Source organism: Homo sapiens, chromosome 2 (genome assembly GCF_000001405.40).
Source record: "Homo sapiens chromosome 2, GRCh38.p14 Primary Assembly".
NCBI classification, from domain to species: Eukaryota; Metazoa; Chordata; class Mammalia; order Primates; family Hominidae; genus Homo; species Homo sapiens.
In genome coordinates, this window is record NC_000002.12 from 187,367,281 (window position 1) to 187,388,955 (window position 21,675).

At 32.9% G+C, this 21,675-nt stretch overlaps 1 protein-coding gene and 1 long non-coding RNA gene across 9 annotated transcripts in view, besides 1 other annotated feature; one reads left to right on the forward strand and one right to left on the reverse strand.

Annotated features, from left to right (window-relative positions):
* The window catches only part of CALCRL-AS1 (CALCRL and TFPI antisense RNA 1), a 544,253-nt gene that overhangs the window by 364,008 nt on the left and 158,570 nt on the right, over positions 1 to 21,675 (forward strand). The window lies entirely within an intron of this gene.
* CALCRL (calcitonin receptor like receptor) overlaps positions 1 to 21,675 on the reverse strand; it is a 106,289-nt gene that overhangs the window by 25,317 nt on the left and 59,297 nt on the right. For 4 of the 6 annotated variants that reach the window (NM_005795.6, NM_001369434.1, XM_047442888.1 and 1 more), the window contains 7 exons: positions 20,386 to 20,476; positions 20,049 to 20,213; positions 18,265 to 18,351; positions 15,893 to 16,025; positions 13,397 to 13,507; positions 13,187 to 13,299; positions 11,660 to 11,751 (listed from right to left, as the gene is read on the reverse strand). In NM_005795.6, the coding sequence (NP_005786.1) occupies positions 11,660 to 11,751; positions 13,187 to 13,299; positions 13,397 to 13,507; positions 15,893 to 16,025; positions 18,265 to 18,315 (500 nt within the window). In that variant the 5' untranslated portion in view covers positions 18,316 to 18,351; positions 20,049 to 20,213; positions 20,386 to 20,476. The remainder of the gene's footprint in view (positions 1 to 11,659; positions 11,752 to 13,186; positions 13,300 to 13,396; positions 13,508 to 15,892; positions 16,026 to 18,264; positions 18,352 to 20,048; positions 20,214 to 20,385; positions 20,477 to 21,675) is intronic. The other 2 variants (NM_001271751.2, NM_001369435.1) reach the window with 1 other exon arrangement.
* Positions 4,108 to 4,308: a silencer, noted in NCBI's record as "peak3978 fragment used in MPRA reporter construct". NCBI's record gives its function as "represses an SCP1 promoter by STARR-seq MPRAs in K562 erythroleukemia cells {active_cell/tissue: K562}" and the evidence as "EXISTENCE:reporter gene assay evidence [ECO:0000049][PMID:32103011]".

Consider the following 21,675-nt stretch of genomic DNA (forward strand, 5'->3'; position numbering starts at 1 on the left):
AAACTGGACCATCGCCACATCATTTCATTTTGTGTTGTGTAAATATGTCCTACTGCCTAAAATACTATTTAGTTTCTTCCATTTCTACCTCCAGGCACTGTGCAACTTAAACAAATGCAGACAGATGCTAAGTAACATATGGTTTCTATCAATGTCTAGTGTAAAAATGGCACTGATTTTTCTGATGATGCATATTGTTTCCTTCTAAACATATTCATTAACACATGTAAGTAGATTGGTACAAATAAAATCAACCTGTAAGTGAAAACCAAAAACATGTAATTGGTAAACACATGGTTTGTTCAAATGAAGCCCTAAAATATTTGTATATTTTTTCAAATATTAACCTGTAACCAATTTTACCTACTTTAAATTCTTAAATATTCTTATTTTATTCAAAATAGTGAAAGCAATTATCTTAGAGTCTTAGAGAATGTTTACAAAAATCCTTCGATTTCTTTAAATTTTATAATATCCCTTTCTATCCCCGCATAACCACAGAACAGAAAATGGGGTTTGTGGGTCCAGATTGTTTGTATTTCATATTTTTTACATATAATTATTTTAAAATGCCATTTCAACATTTAAAATGCCATTTCAACATGCAATTTTGGCCAGCAGAGTTACAGAGGCAGTTGATGTTATTGTGTCAACAAAATCATTATGCTTTATATGTAATGAAACCGTGTCTTTCAATTCACTTTTGGAACAATTTTAGAAGTAAGTAGCGTCAAGTCACTATGTGTAGTTCAGACAGTGAATCTGAACTCTGCCATCTATTGATGGTATAACTTTGGGTAAATTATTTAAGATCTTGAATCTTTAATTTCCTAATCTGTAATTTAGGGCTAACAATTGTACTTCATAGGATTGGCTTAAAAGTTAGAGGAGATAAATCACTTAAAATGTTAGCATAACATCTAACCCATGATAAACACTCCATGTTAAGTTAGCTGTTGTTTTTTAGCATAATTATCATATGGTTGATTTTAATCAAACGCTCTAATGGTTTTTAGGTACAAATACTAAAATAGCATCCAGGTTTACCTCAGTAATGTCAAACTTCCTCTATATTAAAATAAGTATGTTTTAAGTAACTCAATCAAACAGAAAAATAGTCATTTTTTTTCTTACCAAACAAGAATTATCATTAGACAGAATTTCCATATGATGAAGGGCAATACATAAAGCAACCTAAATTATCTTCCCAGGAAATTTCATTCTTTCTATAGTTGTTGCCAAATTGCCAGGTTCACTATCATGCAGATCCCAAATATTATAGTACTTCATCTTCAAATTTCTGCCACTAGTATGGACAATAACCTTGCCTCTGTTTTCCATTTGCTTTTGACATGAGCTAAAAACTTCCAAACTACTTTTCTCAATACTAATTATGAGCAAAATGAATCATGAAAGGAGAAAGTACAAGCAATATAAGAATAGCACAGTCTACAAAGTATTGCTTTCTTATTCTAGCTTATCTAATTTAATTTCCAAATTCTCAGATCTTTTCCCCCAAAAAACACTAGCAACATATCCAAAAGGAAAGCCCTGTCAATCTGAACACTGCCACAAACCATAGGCAGAAAACAACAAGTATATTAAAAGAATCAGTAGTGTGACTATCTTTTGTCTATTCAATGGAACTCTCAAGTTGATGGAATCACATGTTTACATATGAGAAGTAGATATAACCTCTTTCAATAGCTCTCTTTTGGAGGCTGCTGGTGATCCAAATTAGATTAGGCCAGATTAGAAAGAGGGTGAGTATTTCAACCAAGGTGCTCAATGAAGGTCCTAGAGGATAAATTATTGCTCTTCCTCCATTATGCTCCCTCTTCCCATGCCCTTGGGCTGCTTATTTAATGAAATATAGTAGTATCAGACTGCATAAGGAATAGCCATGTCCATTTTGTATGGACAACTGATTTTCTACCATTTGTGAACTGCTTTGGTAAGACTGCTTTTCCTGGTCTTCTAGTGAGCAGGAAACCAAGAGAAGAAAGTCTTTCTGAATACCTGTGATTCTTGGGCTCCAAAACCAACCAACCAAACAAAAACCTTTTTAGAGGCAAAATTTATAATAATAGCAGCCACGATTTTTGAAACCCTTAGACTATCCCCAGCATAGAGATAAGCACTTTAAAGTTGCTATCATATTTAACAACTCCTTGAAGTATTATTGTCTTTTAATAAAATGGAGGTAAGTTTCTCAAGGTTACACTCTTATAAAAAGTGATCTATTGAGTTTGAATTTTGAAGTTCTCAAGGAAGCAATAAGGCTTCTGACTACTTTATAATCCATCTAGTCACTTACTATTGGATAGTAATATTTTGGCCACTGTTACTAGAACTGGGGAAACAGTTGTGAATAATACAAAGCAAAACCCTGACCTCATGTGACTCACACTATAGCAGAGGGTAAATAGGCACATAAATTAAACAATGTAATCCCAGATAGTGGTATGTGCTTTTTAGAAATTAAAACAGGACTAAGGGATACAAAAAGAATGTGGCCAGGGTGAGAAGAATACTTAACATACAGTTGAAACAAGAGAGTATAGAGGAGAGAAGTATTCCAAATGGGGAAGACATCCCTGTTTGTCAAAGCCCTGAGCTTAAAGTTTCTGAGGGGCAAGAACAGGCCATGTGACAGAGTACAAGGTAAACGTCCACCATGGCTTTTTTTCCATTCTACAGAATGAGTAAATTAAATTCAAAGAACATCACTTACTGAATGGCTTTTTGATTCTGAAGTTCATACTCTTTTGTGTTATATAGCTTTTTTAACAATTAATGAAAAATTGTTTACTTTATTCTGTTTTTAAATTATTCCCATCTCTTTCATGTAAGACCTTCTTGGTTTTTGACATCTTAATGTTTCATCAGCAAATATTAGCAGCATAATATCTAGTCATTCTGTTTTTTCTTTTTCCTAAATACTAAAAATATGCTACAGTTTTGAGAGTGTGCTTTGACTTTCTCATATATGTCTGTGGGTATGATCGAGAAAAATAAACTGTCTATAATAATGGAAAACCTGATTGTAAAATATATTATGACTTTTGGGAGAAAAAATGTTATTTATTTCTATTTTCTATTTCAAATAACGAAGTTTTAATCTATTCAAATAATGATATAATTTTCAAAATTTATTGTCATTCTATTGCCAGGAAAACTTAGGTATGCTTAAATTAAATAGCACATTTAATTAGCTCAAACAGAAAAGATTAAATTCATGATTCAGAATTTGCATATTTATCAAATATATCTGTAGGAATAAAGATATGTGATATTTAATGTGGATTTATAGCTTTATATTTTTTATATCTTAAGTCCAAATTATCTAATTCAGTTACTGTATTTATATTTCCATACCTGGGACTCTTCTCCATAAGCCAGTAATAGCAATGACCTTATAGCAGACAGGTTAATGTTAAAGCATGTCCATTACTTCTTGCACTACTCTGTCTGCATTCAAACCGTATACTTTATGTAGAAATGCAATTATTTTATTATATAACTAAAATGGACATATTGGAAACATTTTGGCACCATCTCACTTTATGGCATAAGAATGTTTTCACCTCTCACAACATTCAGTTGGAGAGGGATGGATTTTTATGTACACTAACTGATTAAAATTCATTAATTTGGAGATAGACCCAATAAAACATTTAAGAAAACCTATAGTTCTCACGCCTGTAATCCCAGCATTTTGGGAGGCCAAGGCGGGCAGATCACGAATTCAGGAGATCAAGATCATCCTGGCTAACACGGTGAAACCCCGTCTCTACTAAAACTACAAAAAAGTAGCCGGGCATGGTGGCGGGCTCCTGCATAGTCCCAGCTACTCAGGAGGCTGAGGCAGGAGAATGTTGTGAACCTGGGCGGGAGCTTGCAGTGAGCCAAGATCGTGCCACTGCACTCCAGCCTGGGTGACAGAGCGAGACTCCGTCTAAAAAAAAAAAAAAGTTAAATAAATAATATCTAATGTAAAGCCTGGGATACAGACCGCAGAATAGGCTATATCTCAGGACCATAGTGTATAACAAATTTACAATGAATAAATGGACGTACCGTGAGTTAAGAGAGCAAGGGTGATGCTGGGTAGGCAGTGACAGGTATGCTGTTCAGGGAATACTAGATGACTACTTTTGAACTCAGTCCTTGTCAAACCTCTGACAGTGCAGTATTGCCAGGTTTTAAATAAATGAAAAGCGAAAGTTCCAATTTGTCAAAACAGGTACAACATCAGAGTAATTAGTAGAGCAAACTCTATAGGTTTCAACGTAGGATTTCATTAATAGTTAGCTGTGTTTAAATATGGTTTAAAGATTAATCATGTGGGAGGCTGAGGCAGGAGAATCGCTTGAACCCGGGAAGCAGAGGTTGCAGTGAGCCAAGATCCCGCCACTGCACTCCAGCCTGGGCGACAGAGCAAGACTCCATTTTTTTTTTTTAAAGAAAAGATTAATCGTGCACAATTTTCAGAGAAAAGTTATAGCTTAAAGAAAAACTGTACTTGCTCTAATTGAAGAAAAATATGAAGAAACTGGAAATGAGATAACAGGTCACAATATTGGTTAAATATATTCAGATGTGATCTAAGAAAAAATGAGAATTTTGGTCATTTGTACTGAGAAGCAGAAATACAAGCACTAACAGGTTATTTTAATAAGTTAAATTGAGAATGCTTTGGTCTACCAGTTGGATAGAGGTTATTTTTTTCTGAATTTTATTTGGGACCTATGGCAAGTACCTACAAAAGATATCATTGTCTACATAGTTCCAAATATGCAACTTGGCTTCTAAATTGTTTGGGGTCAGTATCTGAATGTTAGCAAAGACGTTCTTTAAAAAAACAAACCAACAACATTTTCTTTTTTTTTTTCCCTATAAAAGTTGGGTAGATGTCATATGCTCTCTTTTCTGTGGAAAAAGATGAAGCCTTTTGTCTAGGTTGTGAGATTTGCTCTGCTCTCTGATTTTAAACGGTAATTAAAATATAATTTGTAACTAATTCCAGTAGAGTTTATTTTTTTTTTTTATCTAAAGGGTTCCACTTTGTTTTTCCAAGAATCATTACGAGTAAGAGTCATTGCCTCTCAGGGCTTGGCAAGCCCTAAAGTTACGTCTCTTTCTCTTTTCCCCTCCCTCTCTGTTCCCTTTCTTTTTATCTCCTGCTCTGACTTGTTCCTTTAATTGGCTCTAATATAAAACTGAAGTATATCTGGTGAATACTGTTTTGTGTTCTCTGTTTCTAATTTAAAGAATGGATGAGTGGTAGACTTTTCTCTCTCTAAATAAAAAATAACAAACAGTACCCTAAATCAACTTTTTGTATGGTTCTTGGTTTTTATTAGGGTGGGTCAGTGACCCTCAATTACCAAAGAAGAGGAAAAAAGTTTCCCATACCGAGTAAGCAAGAATAAGTACAGTATAAGGAACTGGGTTAAGAAACAGAAAGGATCTGCTAATAGTATTTTTATACACAGTGAATGATTTTATGTGAAACATCAGCTCCTCTAGGAATTGTTTTCAGGTTAGTTGGATGAAAGCTAATAATTTCTATTGCCCCTGACTCCACAAGAACATGATTCATGAACCATTCAAATTCAATATTTTCTGAGGTGGCCCTACTCTTCTTTGGATCTAGCTGCAGTCTTTCATCTTGTTTTACACAGATGCTTCTACTGATTTGAATTTTAGAGTCTTAGTCTAATGCCTTTCTTTGTTGATGGAGACAAATAAGGCCAGACAATCTTAAGGGACATGCTGAAGGTCACAAATAAGGCATGGGCAAGTCTGTCCTATATGTAAGCTTCAAAGCCAGTTCATGTCTTCATTCCTTAAAAATTTATTGAGTGCCTACTATGTGCAAGATCCTATGCTAAGCCCCGAGATGTGTAAAGAAACAAAGCAGAGGAGACTCCTGCTCTCACAAAGCTAGCTTTATAAAATTATTTTCGTTAATTCTAGTGGCATATCTGGTAGATCATTCTATGGAATAAATGTTAGAAGTATCTAAATTCAAAGACTAAAAATTCCTTAATATTGATTCAAAAATTGAGTAAGCTACACGGTATCTTCTGGTCATAAAAAAATCTTATTACTTTTGACTGATTTACTTAACCATAGTTTTTTCTAACATAATTATTAATTTTGTTTATAAAAATGTTCATTCAATGTTTACTTATTTTTCTACATGAATATTTTCTTTATAAACATGGTCCATTTAAAACCAGAACTTGTATTATTTAATTTTGTTTTTAAAGATCTTAATGGTATAACATACCTACCAGGGCTAAATATTTATATTCAAACCTCGTAATGGACTAATAAGAAGTGAGAACAATGCCAATCATAGATAACATTTTTTGAATCAGACGCTCTGCTTAACACTGCATCTCACTGATAACACTGCCATTATCTCAGCCTTTATAGCAAATCTATGATGTAGATACTAATATGATCTGCATTTTTAATATGTATAACTGAGGATTAGAAAAATGAAAGAACATGTTCCACGCTACACAGCAAGTAAGTGACAAAGTGGAATTTGAGACCAATACTGCCTGTCTGAAGAACACTCTCAGGCTGGGCACAGTGGCTCATGCTTGTAATCCCGACAGTTTGGGAGGCTGAGGCAGGAGGATCACTTGAGGTCAGGAGTTTGAGACCAGCCTGGGCAATATAATCAAACCCTATCTCTAAAGAAAAAAATATTTAAAAAATTATCTGGGTGTGGTGGTGTGTGCCTGTAGTCCTTGCTACTTGGGAGGCTGGGTGGGGGAGGATTGCTTGAGCCCAGGCGTTTGAAGCTGTAGTGAGCTATGATCTTGCCACTGCACTCCAGCCTGGGTGACACAGTGAGAGCCTATCTCTAAAACAAGAAAGAAAGAAAGAAAGAACACACTCTCCTGTAATGACATCTAGACATACAGAAAGTATTTAAAATGCTATACATGAGTTTTACTTGAAGACGGTTTCTCATGTTTTACCTAAGGCCTGAGAATGATAATAATAAAGGAAAATTTGCAGTTTTGCTTCTCTCTTTTCAAATTCTTCATTTTTAAAGATTTGTAGAGTCAATTAAAATAATGAAGTGAGCTAGAACACAGATCAGGAGAAATCTTGAAAATGTTAATTAATTAGAAAATAAGTAAAATTAGGTGTGAGACTAGATGATCTCTTCACTGCTTATGGCTTATAATTTCTATCTGTTGAAGTTTTACCCATCATTGAAGTGTTTGCTTCAATTAGAGTATCACCTCAGGAATCTTCAGATTCTATGAGTTAGAATGGTTCTTTCCTTTCTCAGTGTTCCCCAGGTCTTTGTAGCTCCAGAATAGCACTCATTTTTTTGTTTTGTTTTGTTTATTTTACTTTGTATTACTATTATATGAGTATTTCAGATGACTACATAAATGTATTCTGAGTGCCTATATGATTGATATAGTCTAATGAAAAAATCAGTAACTCTTACTACTCATTGACGGGCTCCTAAATGCCAGGTACTATATGAGTCTACTTTGCGTAGTATTTTCAATAACATCATGACCCACTGTAAACACACACACACACATCCCTGGGGCTTATTTAAAGCAAAATCAGGCTAAGTCCATACTATTAGCAAGTAGTGATGACAAGTTTGGAATACATCCCATGTCTTAATCATTGTATTATACTATCCATTAAAATTGAGTTGGCCGGGCGCGGTGGCTCACGCCTGTAATCCCAGCACTTTGGGAGGCCGAGGCGGGTGGATCATGAGGTCAGGAGATCGAGACCATCCTGGCTAACAAGGTGAAACCCCGTCTCTACTAAAAATACAAAAAATTAGCCGGGCGCGGTGGCGGGCGCCTGTAGTCCCAGCTACTCGGGAGGCTGAGGCAGGAGAATGGCGTGAACCCGGGAAGCGGAGCTTGCAGTGAGCCGAGATTGCGCCACTGCAGTCCGCAGTCCGGCCTGGGCGACAGAGCGAGACTCCGTCTCAAAAAAAAAAAAAAAAAAAATTGAGTTATGCCTGAATTCAACTGCATACCTCTTATACTAACTTGCCACTGAAAAATTCTTTTTTTTCCTTTCAGTTCACTATATAGAATAAACAGGTAATTGTACTTTCAGTGAAAACTTCAAGTGGAAGTAAGGTAATTATTTGAAAAACATATTTTTTCTTTTATGTAGAGGTCAAATTTCTTATATTGGCAAGACATTCATTTGCTTTAACAAAGTGTTGCCAATGTAGCATGTTATACATCTTGTTTAAAAGCATGGGCATTTTAGCAAATAACAAATGCATGTATTTATTGCACATAGTAATCTTTATTTTAAAAAATATTATTTTTCTAAAAAATTGGCCTATTTATATGTAAAACACGAGGACAGTATTTGGGAGAACCAAATTTCTGGCCTCTTTTGGAATGAGGAATGTGCCTACAGGTTACATCTTTAAAGTTAATAATTTTGTAAATATATACACAATATCATTTTTAAAAAGCACTTCTCTATAGATGAAATAAACATTCTCTGGTTTTAAATTTTAACCCTTCAATTAAAATTTAAAATTACTTGTGAATATCAGTTGAACAGTATTTGTTCTTGAATAAAACATACATAAATACAGATATAAAAATATTGAACATGATTTTATTCCAATTCTTTATCAATAAGAAATACAGTTTATGTGTGTAGACTGCTTTAAGCTTGCCAAATACTTTAACAGATACCAACTTCCCTGATATGGAGATTATATATTTTGATTAAAAAGATAACTCTTTCATTCTAATCCTCTTTATTCAAGTACTGTTTCATTCATAGATTCTTGGGTGTGGAAAGAGCATTAAAGATCCTCAGGTCTAGCTATGAACCCAGTATAGGAAAGCCATCTACTTCAACTTTCCTGAGTGACAGGAAGGCAAATGCAAGGTTCATTACATTTTGTTTAGTTATATTCGTTTTTTTAAATTTTTTTAATTGAGCTATTTTTTTCTCTGTTTATTATACCAACTGTATTCTCAATTATAGTAATTTGGATTCTTGAAATCATACATTGTGCCTTATATATTTTGTCTTTTTCTGGCTTAACACTCTTGGTGTGGTACCTTGATGCCCGGATCAGTTGATATTTTCTTCAATTTCTTCACTTGATAAGCTAATTTTTATGATATCTTGCTTTTGCTCTCATATAGTGAACTAGGAGAATAAGTGGTCTGATTTGAGATTTAAAATTGAATACTCTACATTTGTTGGTATCATTTGGCTTGCAGCATTGTTTTCACTTGGCAGCCCTACTCTTATCTAATTAGTTCACAGCAAGCATTTTCCATTAAATCTTAGACTCTTTCACATGAAGGAACATAAATAATTTTGCATTTGACTTTAGGAAATTGGTGCAGGACTTTACTTATCTTTACTAAATTCTAACTTGTTTGGGACTGTATGACTTAGAATTCTAGAAACCATTGTCCTTCCCTGTAGCCACTGGTTTTGACAGGCAAATGTAATTATTATACTTTGCAACTTTATCTTCTTCAAAAATTTAATGTGCTCGGATATTTCAACTTATGACATGCAAAATAAAAAGAGACCATTTAATCTGAAGACTTTCAGCTGTATTAGTTTTTAATTTGCAGAGATAGTGGTCTTCCAAATGTTAATTAAAATTTTACCCTATGTCTACTATCGTTAATTGCAATTCTGGAAATATTACAGTAAGTAATTCGGGAAGATTTCACTGAGGAAGTGATGCTAAAATTTAAATCTAAAAGATAAATACATTTAATTAGACTAGGGAGGAGGCAAAGAGAACAGGCAGGGCAAGTTAATGATTTTGATTTTATATTAATTACAATGGAAAATCTAAAAATTTTAAAGCAAAGAATGGCAAAATCAGGTCAATATTTGATCTAAATATTTGAAACTACTATTCTGGCTGCCTTGGTTAGAATTAAATGAAGAGAGAAAGTGAATTTACTGAGGCTAGATAGAACAAGACTGCTGGTGATGGCAGTAGTGATCAGGAAATGGAATAGATTAGAAGGGTTTCAAAAGGTTAAGTTCACAGGTTATAAGGAAAGAGTGACAGAGAAGAAAAATGAGAGAAATGTATCACAGATTACTCTTAAATTTCTGGCCAATGTGATTGGATTTCTGGTAGTGTCATTTGTAAAGATGGGTCACTCTGGAAGAAAACCAGCTTGGGTTAGGAGGAGGTAGATAATATGAATTTGTTTTGAACATGTTCATTTTGAAATATTTTTGAGATGATGTGTTTCAAGAGCCATAAAAAGATATAGACCCTTTGACCAAGAAATCCCAAGACTCTGGGAATGTAGCCTGAGAAAATAGTACAAACTATGGGAAAAGTTATAGTCAAAAATGTCCATTGCAGTGTTTTTTAATTGAAAAAATGAAAGCAATGTTAATGGTCGAAAATAGAGAATTGATAATAACAACTTTTGTACACCTACTAAATGAAAAATTATTTAGCTGCTCAAATGATTGTTTAAAAACTGTTCAGTAACATATAAAGTGCTAATGATAAAATGCTGTTATAAAAATAGTTAAAATATTTTAAATACTATAATTAAAACTGTAGAAACAATATGAAATAAAACTAGAAAAATGTTAGAAATTGCTTAATAGGGTATTAAAATTATAGGTATATATATCTTCTTTGTTTAAAATTAGTAGAAGAAGGAAGTTGGAGGAAGAAGGAGGGGTAGGAAGAGGAATAAGAGAAGAGGAGGAGGAGGAGGAAAAAGAAGAACAAGAAGAAGGAGAAGGAGAAGAAGAAACAAGAAAGAGAAGGAGGAGGAGGAGGAAAAAGAAGAACAAGAAGAAGGAGAAGGAGAAGAAGAAAGAAGAAAGAGAAGGAGCAGCAGTGGCGGTGGCAGCCACAGGAGCAAAAGGAGCAGAAGATGACTACAATGCGATGAAGATACAATGAAACATAGCTACTTACTCTTGTCACGCTGAATTCTATGATTATATATATGCTGATGATCAAAGTTATGAAAATCATGTGAAGGGATAAAATAATGCATGCATGACTTAGAATTTAACTTTCTATAAATTTAAAATTGGTTGTTGATTGCTTTGTTCAAAAAATTGGAGCTGACTCTTCCTCCTCAAAATGGAGTGAATTACAAGTAAAATTGAAAGTACAATTAAACCTTTTTAATGATGACCCGCCAAACGAGGAAAAACCCTAAACAAAGTGTATTTAGATTATATTTTTGATGATATATGTTAAATGCCTTTGCTATTATTTGCACAAAATTCCGGTTTCTAAAATGGACACTTATTCTGTTATTAAAATTGTCCAAAAGCTAAACACACAATTAAGAAGGCCTATACTATTTAACAGTTCCCAAAGCAAATACAGTTAGGTTTATATATTAGTTTGGACTCCCTTCTTATTATATGTCTTCACTTTTATATGCCTACTAATTTTGTAAAATTCAGGTTAAGATATTTCATCAGTCTCCTCTACATATTTTACAAAGCTAAGATCAACTTATTTCAACTTATTTTAAACATTATAAATCATCTATATTGGTATATTTTGTCAGACATGATGTAAATATGCACATGATGGGGCATTCACCCAAGACATCTAGTAATTTTCTTAAAATATTTTAAATTTACTTACTTGAAATAAAAGAATATGCCAAGCGAGATAAGCAGTGATGCAATAGACAATCCGTGTCCAATTATGGTCAGGTAAAACAAATTTAGTGCAGTCTGTAATTTGTATAAACAAAAAAATTTGGTTCATATCAATACTATAAGTATCTGTAATCCCACACATGCAGAAGTTCAAATTCAGTTGAATAAACTATATTTTTAGAAATATGTGATCTGATAGCCTTACAATGATGAGTTTACAAACCAATAAATACTTGAACGTGTCTGGAATGAAAAATATCTATCCAGTGAAATTATCAAAATTTATAAGTTGTATGCCTTTTTATTTTTTTAATAATTTTTTAAAAAATTAGAAGTCAAATATTAAATCTATGAGGCAAAACTTTTATTGATCTAGATTATATACTATATGAAACTAGTATTTTATATTTTGTGCACCTTCAAACAAATGCTACGTGATGATTTGTTTTGTTCAGATGTAAATGCCAGATAAAGGTTTATTTTCAAACTGAGTTTCTTTTTCCTTTGACAAATTTGAAGCTCAGAGACAAATCTCAATTTGTTAACTTAGAAGATTCTATGATCTGTACAAATGTGTTCTTTCTCATGGTTTTCACTTTTTTATTTTTATTTGTCTGCATTCCATTTATTTGTAACCTACCACTTTATTGTGTATTTGTATAATTCTCTTCCAATTCTTACCTGAATAAGCTGGGAATATGTTATTTATAAACATAATGATAGCTGGTAGTTATCAAGAGCTTACTATATGCTAATCTTTTAAGTATTTCCCTTGTGTTAAATCAATCCTTATGAAAATAATGAGGATGGAATCTATTCTTACCCTCATTTCATATATGAGGGGACTGAAGCAGAGAGATGTAAAATGGCTTTTTCAAGGTCAAACAGCTGGTAAGAAGTAGAAATAAGAAATCAGGTTTTAGGACTCACAGTTGTAATCACTGTGATAAACTGCCTCTATTACAAACACATGCAAATACATGCAAGTGTTTTCTATCGAAGCTATATTATAGTGCCAAACTGTAATTAACCTTGACTCCAATGTGTAGTGTTTAAGGATGCGATAGTTAGTGCGAATAACCTAAGACCCAGTCAGAATGAGATCCTTCTGCTGAGGGAGGGACAGGACTCTTTAAACCCTGCTGGGCTTATCCTGTTTACTTGAGCACAGTTTCAGAGGTCATTCTAGAAATTCCACTGCAAATGGAAGATTTTCCTTTTCTTACACTTTTAAGGTATGTTTTCTTTGGAAAATTTGAAACCCCAATACTGAAACATTGACTTGTAAATTACACTATTACCTAAAAGGATTGCTTTTTCAGTGTAATGACAAAATCAATAATAATTTTTTCCACGGATATATTTCTTCTTTATTCTTCTCAAATTATATTATGAAAAGGCTTTATAAGGGAATGGAATAATGACTTTATTTTCTTTAATACAGTATTGGACAAAGGAGCTGTTTAAACAGATACTGTAAGTTAAATTTCAATTCAGAATTATGACATACCTTCACTTTCTCGTGGGTGTTAACATTACACTGGGTATAATTTGTCCATGTTCTGTTGCTTGCTGGATGTCTAAACCAGTTTCCATCTTGGTCACAGATCTTTGTAACTTTTTCTTTAAAATTAAAAAAAAAGGGAAAACAGGAATTTAATTAACCTAGGATTTATTAAATAGATGTCAAGGAGATATGTAGATACATTTCTGCTTTTACCTGATGGATCAAAGTCCTGAAAGTAATCAGGGCAGAGCTGCATTGATTCAGTTCCTGCTGCAACATCGTTCCAGCAGAGCCATCCATCCCAGGTTCTGTTGCAGTAAACGCCTTAGTGGGGAAATAATAATTGGGGATAATTAAATCCTTCTACTTATACATGAAGACATAGTTTTAAAAGTGGTTTCACACTGATGTGGAGTAAAGGCTATCTACTGAAAATGCAGACATTATATGAAAATCTATATATAGAAATTATTTGGCTTCCCACCAAGTAATATTATAATAATTTCTCAATTAAATTCTAAATTAAATTTAAAAATATCTAAATATATAAAGTTTAGATTTAATTTTAATTGTCAAAGGTAGCTATTTGTTTAATAAATCAAATGGTCTTTGCTAGTTGTCCTTAGCCATAATGTAGTGATTAGCGTCCCTATGCTTAAAATAAGAAAACAATGGGAAATTAGAAACATGTTTAATTTTAGAAACTGTATGCTTAGGGCAAGGTGTTAGTATTTTCTGAAGCAAGCCAATAAATATTCCAATATTTCCTATTATACCATTGTAACCCTGAAAGATACTTATTTAGGCCCCTCCACCAAATTCTGACTCTTCATTCCTTTTCTTTTCAAATAAGGTAGAATGTTCAATAATCTCACATTTTTCTCCAAAATTAAATAAAGAACTTCTTACATTAAAATATATAAAGTTTTTTTAAGGCGTAGGTAAATTAACCGACCAATGTTCTAATGTTGTAACAGTCTATAATTAAAAAAGTAATTTTCTTTTTTTTTTTGAGACTGAGTCTTGCTCTGTCGCCAGCTGGAGTGCAGTGGTGTGATCTCGGCTCACTGCAACCTCCACCTCCCAGGTTCAAGTGATTCTCCTGCCTCAGCCTCCCAAGTGGCTGGGACTACAGGTGCCCGCCACTGCGCCCAGCTAATTTTTGTATTTTTAGTAGGGAAGAGGTTTCACCATGTTGGCCAGGATCGTCTCAATCTCTTGACCTCTTGATCCGCCCTCCTCGGCCTCCCAAAGTGCTGAGATTACAGGTGTGAGCCACCACACCCGGCCCAAAAGTAATTTTCTAACTTGTCAGATAGAGATAGAACCTTGATTGCTGCATGAGATGTTTATTGTTTTTAACAGATTTGCAAGGCAATATCGGCATTTATCTAGCCCTCATGAAAATAGAACAAAATTCTGATGGCCTGTAAGTTCAAGTAAATTGAAATAAAAACCAACAAAATTTTAATGTTTCCCCAGATAATGTTTTCTGCTATGTCATTTTTTGGACAATTATTTAAATAGTTTGAATCCATATATTTCTAGATAAAATACATTTTATGGCCTATTAGAAAAAAATTTCTTGATGTAGTTTTAGAAAGCATCTCAGATATGTCCATATCACAGCTCCAAAAGTATCTAATTCACTACAGCATTGGTAATGTGATAGAGTGCAAGGTCCAGAATTTTTGAAATTGTGTTTTATGGCATTTGAGTTAGATCTAAGTAGGTATTCCATGAAAAAAGTTTCTCTGGTCAAATGGATTTTAGAGACACAAAGTTGAAATAAAAATAGCTCTTTATTGCAAGACTTTCTAGAGTATTTAAAATTACAAAGTACATTATGAAACTTCAAGAAGGTGTATTATGCAATGATTCCAAACTTCTCTTACCACAGAATACTTTTATTATGAAACTTTACAAAGATATTCCTATTGTTCAACAATTAAATTTAAAATCTACTTTTACATAATATACAGCAAGAAGGCTTGGAAGGGTTTCAAAGTTAAAAATATCTAAAGAGTGTTAAATTTTATTTTACTGTGAGTTTTACATTTGATATTTTGAAGATAACCCTTTCTTTAAGGTTGCCAGGTAAAATATAGGACCTGTTTTTGTTATTGCTTTATCTGGCAACTCTGCTTGTGCTACTCATCTTTTATCTTCAGAATCTAGTCAAGTATCTGGTGCTTAGCAGGCTCTCAATGAATGTTATCCAAAAAAGCAAAAGAATATCTTAATGCAAACAGAAGCACTTAGATTTCATTAACTTTGCCACCAAATGTACTATGCAAAGTGTGTGTGTTATGAAAAACAACACTTTTGTATTCATTATATTATTAGGCAACCTCCTGTCAAGCAGGTTGTTAAAAAAAAAAGAAATACACAATTACATAAACTGAAAAAGTCAACTGTCATTAAGATTTGTGTTTTTGTGTTAATATTAATACTTATTTGATTTAAATATCTTTGTACCATAAAAAGAATCATACTAAAAAGATCACTGTCACATATTTTTATTGTTTTTAAAAAGCGATATAACATGATGTCATAAAATGTTCTTCAAACATAATTAAAACTGCACATATACAAAAAGGTAGCAATCTATTTTTAATAATGGACCTAAAGCACTTATAATGATATAATGGGAGTAGTTTTCTTTTAAAAATATGTCAAATGCATTTACAACTAAGTAGCCATGCTTACCTTCTGCTTGTTGAATGGGGTCTTGCATAATCTTTTGGTAACATTCATATTGAGCTGTCATGATTTTATTTCTAGTAACTCCCAACTGAATTGAGTCCTCAGGACTCTCTTCTAATTCTGCTGTAACAAGAATCTAAGGGATTAAAAAAACAACAACATCAACTTCATGAAAAGGATTATGAAAATGTGTTTGTCAAAGGCAGTCTGTCACAGTAGAAAACAGCAAGTGCGGTGATGTACTGGAAGATAAACTGGCGCTCTAGGGAAAAAACCCCAATTTGTAGTGTTTGCTATTTCCATGGTATAAATATCCCCACCATGTCCAATTTCAAAACACCAACAAGATGTCACCATTGGCAGAGTGGGAAACCACAGTTGGTTCTCAGAAGCCTGTGGTAGCCAGCTCCAGGACATTCCTTAATATGTGTTTTGGAATGTAGACAGAGATGTCTTCCAATCTGACCCGAATGTTTTTCCTGGCTCTATGAATGAAGGCAAGATATTGTCTGTCCCCTCCCCCAAAGCCTCTGCTTCCTTATTGTAAAATAGTATAAAATAGCATCAAGATAACAGAGGAGACGTATCTGGCACATGGAAATACTTACAATGTATTGCCATTGTCATGATATTTTGATAATCAAAATAATGGCAACATCATTTATGATGTTGGTAAATAGAAATTTTTCTTGTATGCACATCAATAATGTTTTTGGACAAGTTATATACTTATTTTCTTCCAATATAGTAGCACTATTTTAAGCTTCAATTCTACTTTAGTTTCCACGTGACTTTTTTTCTGATTTATAATATGAAGCCCGAATAGACCTCTTTTTTAACACTTTTAGCAGTAATTGTTGCATAATTTCTATTAACTATATCCCATAAGCTGTTATCTTCCTATCCTTCCTTTGCCTCCTCATTGTAGTATTTCTTTTTTCTAGCAGGAAGTTGAATTTAGTAAAATCAAAATGACATTCCCTCACTGGGTAGCACCTCTCAAGCTTAAGTTTTACCATTGTGTGACCACCATTTAACAATAACTCTTTCATTCCTTTGTTGTTTTAATTTCCAAATAAAGATTTATGCAGTGGTAGTGCTACACAAGTAATACATGGAAATGTAGAACATAAAGAAAATTAATATATTTGAAAAGCACGTAACTCCTGTTCTTCCCAAAAAGTCCATAAAATTGCAAAAATCCATATGATTTTTATCCCTACTTGGAACACAGACTCTGATTTGTACACGATCTTACATGAGTTCAAGAGGAAGAGTCACAATTTCTTAATTACAATAATCAGTTGCTAATCTGTTACAGAATTACCTGCAGGAAAGTAATGTTCTATGCAGCTCGCTCAGTGGAGGGTGTGAGCTTAAGTCAACTTAAAGATACCGTCTAAGAAGTGCAGGATTTGGACTGCTCCTAGACTTGGAAATATTTGCTCCTAGACTTGAAAATGTTTTCAAATACAAATGCGGACAGGAATGTAGTCTTGTTTTTTTGTTTTTTGTTTTTTTCTGGTTTAGGTTTTCTGTATTCTCCCAAGTTTCTTTGTTTCCATCTTTGTGGTGTTTGCTTGGAAACACCTCAAGAAAATTCTTAGCTGCCACAGGATTAGATGAGAGTATGTCTCTTGGTTTTTCATGTTTATAATGAGATAAGAGCACAGTCACTGTTTTATTTTGAGGTAGAGAAAAACATGGGTGATTCATTACTATAATTAAACATAAAATTAAGTGTATGAAGTATGTGACTCCTCCAGCAGAGCAATTGAGTTTTTGTCTTATTTGCCTACCTTCCACCTTGGGCCCCATATCCCCATTGTATACATGTAGAGGGGCAGATGAGTGTGCAGACTTATGCACACACTTGCCTCAAATTTAACATCAATGTCTGCTAATTTGAATGAATGATTGAGGAAATTAATTTAAAACAAAGTGTATGGTTCTAAATTGCCTTGCAATCAAGATATGTCAATCAACTGGCAGAACGGGAGAAACATCAATGAGAGAATCATTTTTTAACAGATCTAACTCTGAATCTACAATTCTGGTTGAAAATATTTTCTCTACTATGTACAACATGTACCATAGAGTCATTCCATTTTTTTTTCAATCTCTGATTACTTTCCTCTGGTGTCTTATGCATGTGTGTATTCATCTTTCCCATTCTGATCCCCTCCAATTCCTTCTCATTCTATACCTGTTATAGGACTAAAAGCATACACCGAATGAAAACACATTATTGCTGTATCAATTGGATATAAAAATGTAACTAATTTCTGTATCTAGTAACTTCATTAATATTCTTTATCAATTATAGGTATACTGGAAGCAATAACAGACATAATCATATATATTTTTATGCTTACCATAAAAAAAGGCAAGAGAACCAGAAAATACAGGGTACACTTTTTCTCCATCATTAAGCCAAAATGAAATATGCTGTATAACATAAACTGCAACAGAAAATAAAAGAAATATAATTCATCAATATTTATGAAATAAATGCAGATGATTCTCAACAGAAAATTTATTTTAAAACTACACAATAATTCAATAATTTTACTTTAAAGATTTGATAAATCATTTTTTTTAAGACAAGGTCTCACTCTGTCACCAAGGCCTAGTGCAGTGCCACAATCTTGGCTCACTGCAGCCTGGACTTCCCGAGTTCAAGCGATCCTCCCTCCTCAGCCTCCCAAGTAGATGGATTACAGGTGAGCGCCACCACACCCAGCTAATTTTTGTATTTATAGTAGAGATGGGGTTTCACCATGTTGGCCAGGATTACAAGTGTGAGCCACCCTGCCCAGCAGATTAAAATATATTAAAACTGCAAATGTTTAAGAGCATTATGGTGTCAAATGTTTAAGAACATTATGGTGTCAAATGTTAAGGAGCTTATAAATACATTTTAATTTAATTTAATTAGACTTACAAACAGAAAAACTTCTTATAGATAGATAGATAGATAAGTAATTAGAAAACAACTTGCATTTTTTGCCTTTACCAAAATTGGGATCAAATTATAAAGGTATTACAATAGAGAGTTTTTCATGGACATAAAAAATTTTGATAGCATATTTTATTATAAAGCTTACCTTTATTTCCTGTAAGTATTAATCTCATTTTCAATTTTCTGACTCTTCAGTAATTTAAGGAAGGAAATTGTTCTCAATTTCTTGAGAATCAACATCTATACATCATTAAAATGTCTTTATAATTTAATAGAAATTATTCTTCACTACTGAAAATCAATTTTTTAAAATTAGGAAATAAAAGATTCCCTAAGTCATCTACATTATTCAAATAAGGTTTCAGGGAGTGAAGAGTATCGAATAAAATATTTGTTTGAATATTTTTAATACTAAGTACAATTCTGAGCTAATGAAAAATGGCCTCTAAAATGCTACCCACTAGCTTCCTAATTCTAAGAGACAAGAAATGCTGGAGTGTTTTTCCAAATGCTTACACCCTGTGAAGTCCAGGAGCAACCTACTCCAACATATTTTCAGGATGTAGCCATAACTAAATGATATGGTTTGGCTCAGTGTCCCCACCTAAATCTCATCTTGTAGCTCACATAATTCCCATGTGTTGTGGGAGGGACCCAGTGGGAGATAAATGAATCATGGAGGTGGGTCTTTCCACTGCTGTTCTCCTGAGAGTAAATAAGGCTCACAAGATCCGATGGATTTAAAAATGGGAGCTTCCCTGCACAAGCTCTCTTCTCTTATCTGCTGCCATGATGTGATGTGCTTTTCACCTTCTGCCATGATTGTGAGGCCTTCCCAGCCACGTGAAACTGTAAGTGCATTAAACCTCTTTCTTTTGTAAATTGCCCAGTCTTGGGTATGTGTTTATCAGCAGCATGAAAACGGACTAATACACTGAACACGCAAACAATATTTTTAAAGGAGAGAAAAAATTTCCGATCAACAGATATTTGCCACTGACCTGTAAGCTTAGATTTAATTTTGTTAGGAAACTAGTAATGATTTTATGACAGGGCTAATTTGGGAAAAATAATTATAAAAACCTTTTTACGTGTTCACAGGTTTTGCTTATTATTCTTCTTATGACATTCAATGACAGCACACTATTAATTGTCACACACAATTTGTGCCATTGCTAGCCCTCGCCAATGACTCACCTAGAAGTTGTAGCAATCTTGTTTTATAGCAACCTTGTCAAGTTGTGGTTGACAAATTGAAGTTTGCAGCAGTCTTGTCAAGTTGTAGTAGTTTTCTTTTTAGTGGTAGCAATCTTTCAAATATTGTTTTCTATAGGCTAGTATGGGTTTTTATTATTAGACGATCTTGAGAAAAATATAACCAAAATACCATGAATCATTGTATTAATTTTAATAAAAGTAGTGTTGTTATAGACAGAAAACAATGAGTCAGTTTATTTAATTCAGTAATTAATAAGTTAATATTTTAGTTTTTATTAAATTTTACCATGAGAAAATTTAATTTCCCAATACTTACATGCACAATTGTCTCCAGTCTCAAATCACATTTTCTCTTGGATCATATTTGACATTGTCTTTAAGAATTTCTTAAATTCAGGGGTCAAGACCTGAAATATTGATGAATGTAATAATTTAATATTATGCTAATGACCAAAATTATTTCCATGATAAATTAAAAACTTCAAAGAAAATACTGCTACTAAGATCATATTTTTATTGAACAATTCCAACTTTGAAAAGCCTCTTTTGCTTACAATATATTTGGGTTATTATATAGCATTATATTCACAGCATGGGATGTTTCAATATGAATTATAGATCTATATTATGAGAACACACTTGGTCTAGAAATGTACATATTTTCTATGAGTAAATAATTTTTAAAGAGTAATTATGTCATTTTCACTTGAAAAATTGTTGATTTTAGATATTTACATTTTTTTCATAGAATTACTAAAATGTTTTCCTTAGGCATTTATAAGTTAGATAAATATTTCTTTATTTATTGTATCTATAGTCATATAATTCCACAAATCATTCTAAATTATACTGCCTTTAAAAATAAATTTTGTGTTTTAATCTTCTCAGTGGAGCTTTAATTATTATCAAGTATTAATAGCAAGGTGAAAGAAAGAAGAGTTGTTTTGTTTTTGGTTTTTATTTTTTTGTACACATTTTTTGTGGAAGAGTTGAAAATAGTTAACAGATACAGTAACTCCTAAAACTCTCCTTATCATATTAATGATAATTTACTAGGATTTCTGTTAACAAAAAATTAAAGCAATTTACAGTTCATTATTAGACAATACTCTTACATGCACATTTCACCTGGAAATGTGATAGGGAATGATACTGGACACTACAGATTTGTTGTGACCATTAAATGATTTTGACTATATTGTGGAGCCCTGAAAGTTCCCAACTCATGGCATACTCTTGGCTAAGTTCTATTTCCCATGCAATTTAATCTAACCTAATGAAATGCCAACCTATTCAGCTTTATTTGTTAGATTAATATAAAAATTTACTTTATAGATTCTATATACAAAATCACTTCTATATTTATTAACAGATATATTTTATTTTAAATTGATTATTTTAAACAATATCACATTCTTTATAATTATGCATTTTGCAAAACTCTATCATTTAATCCATCCCTAAATATAAAAAAGTAATTGATTTTTGTATTCATGGTTTTATATAGGCAAAATTGCTTTTGCAAATCACTGTTTGGTGTTTAACATAGTACCTGACACAACCTGAGTGCTCAAGAAATTTTTGCTAAAGAAATAAGAGATTCAAT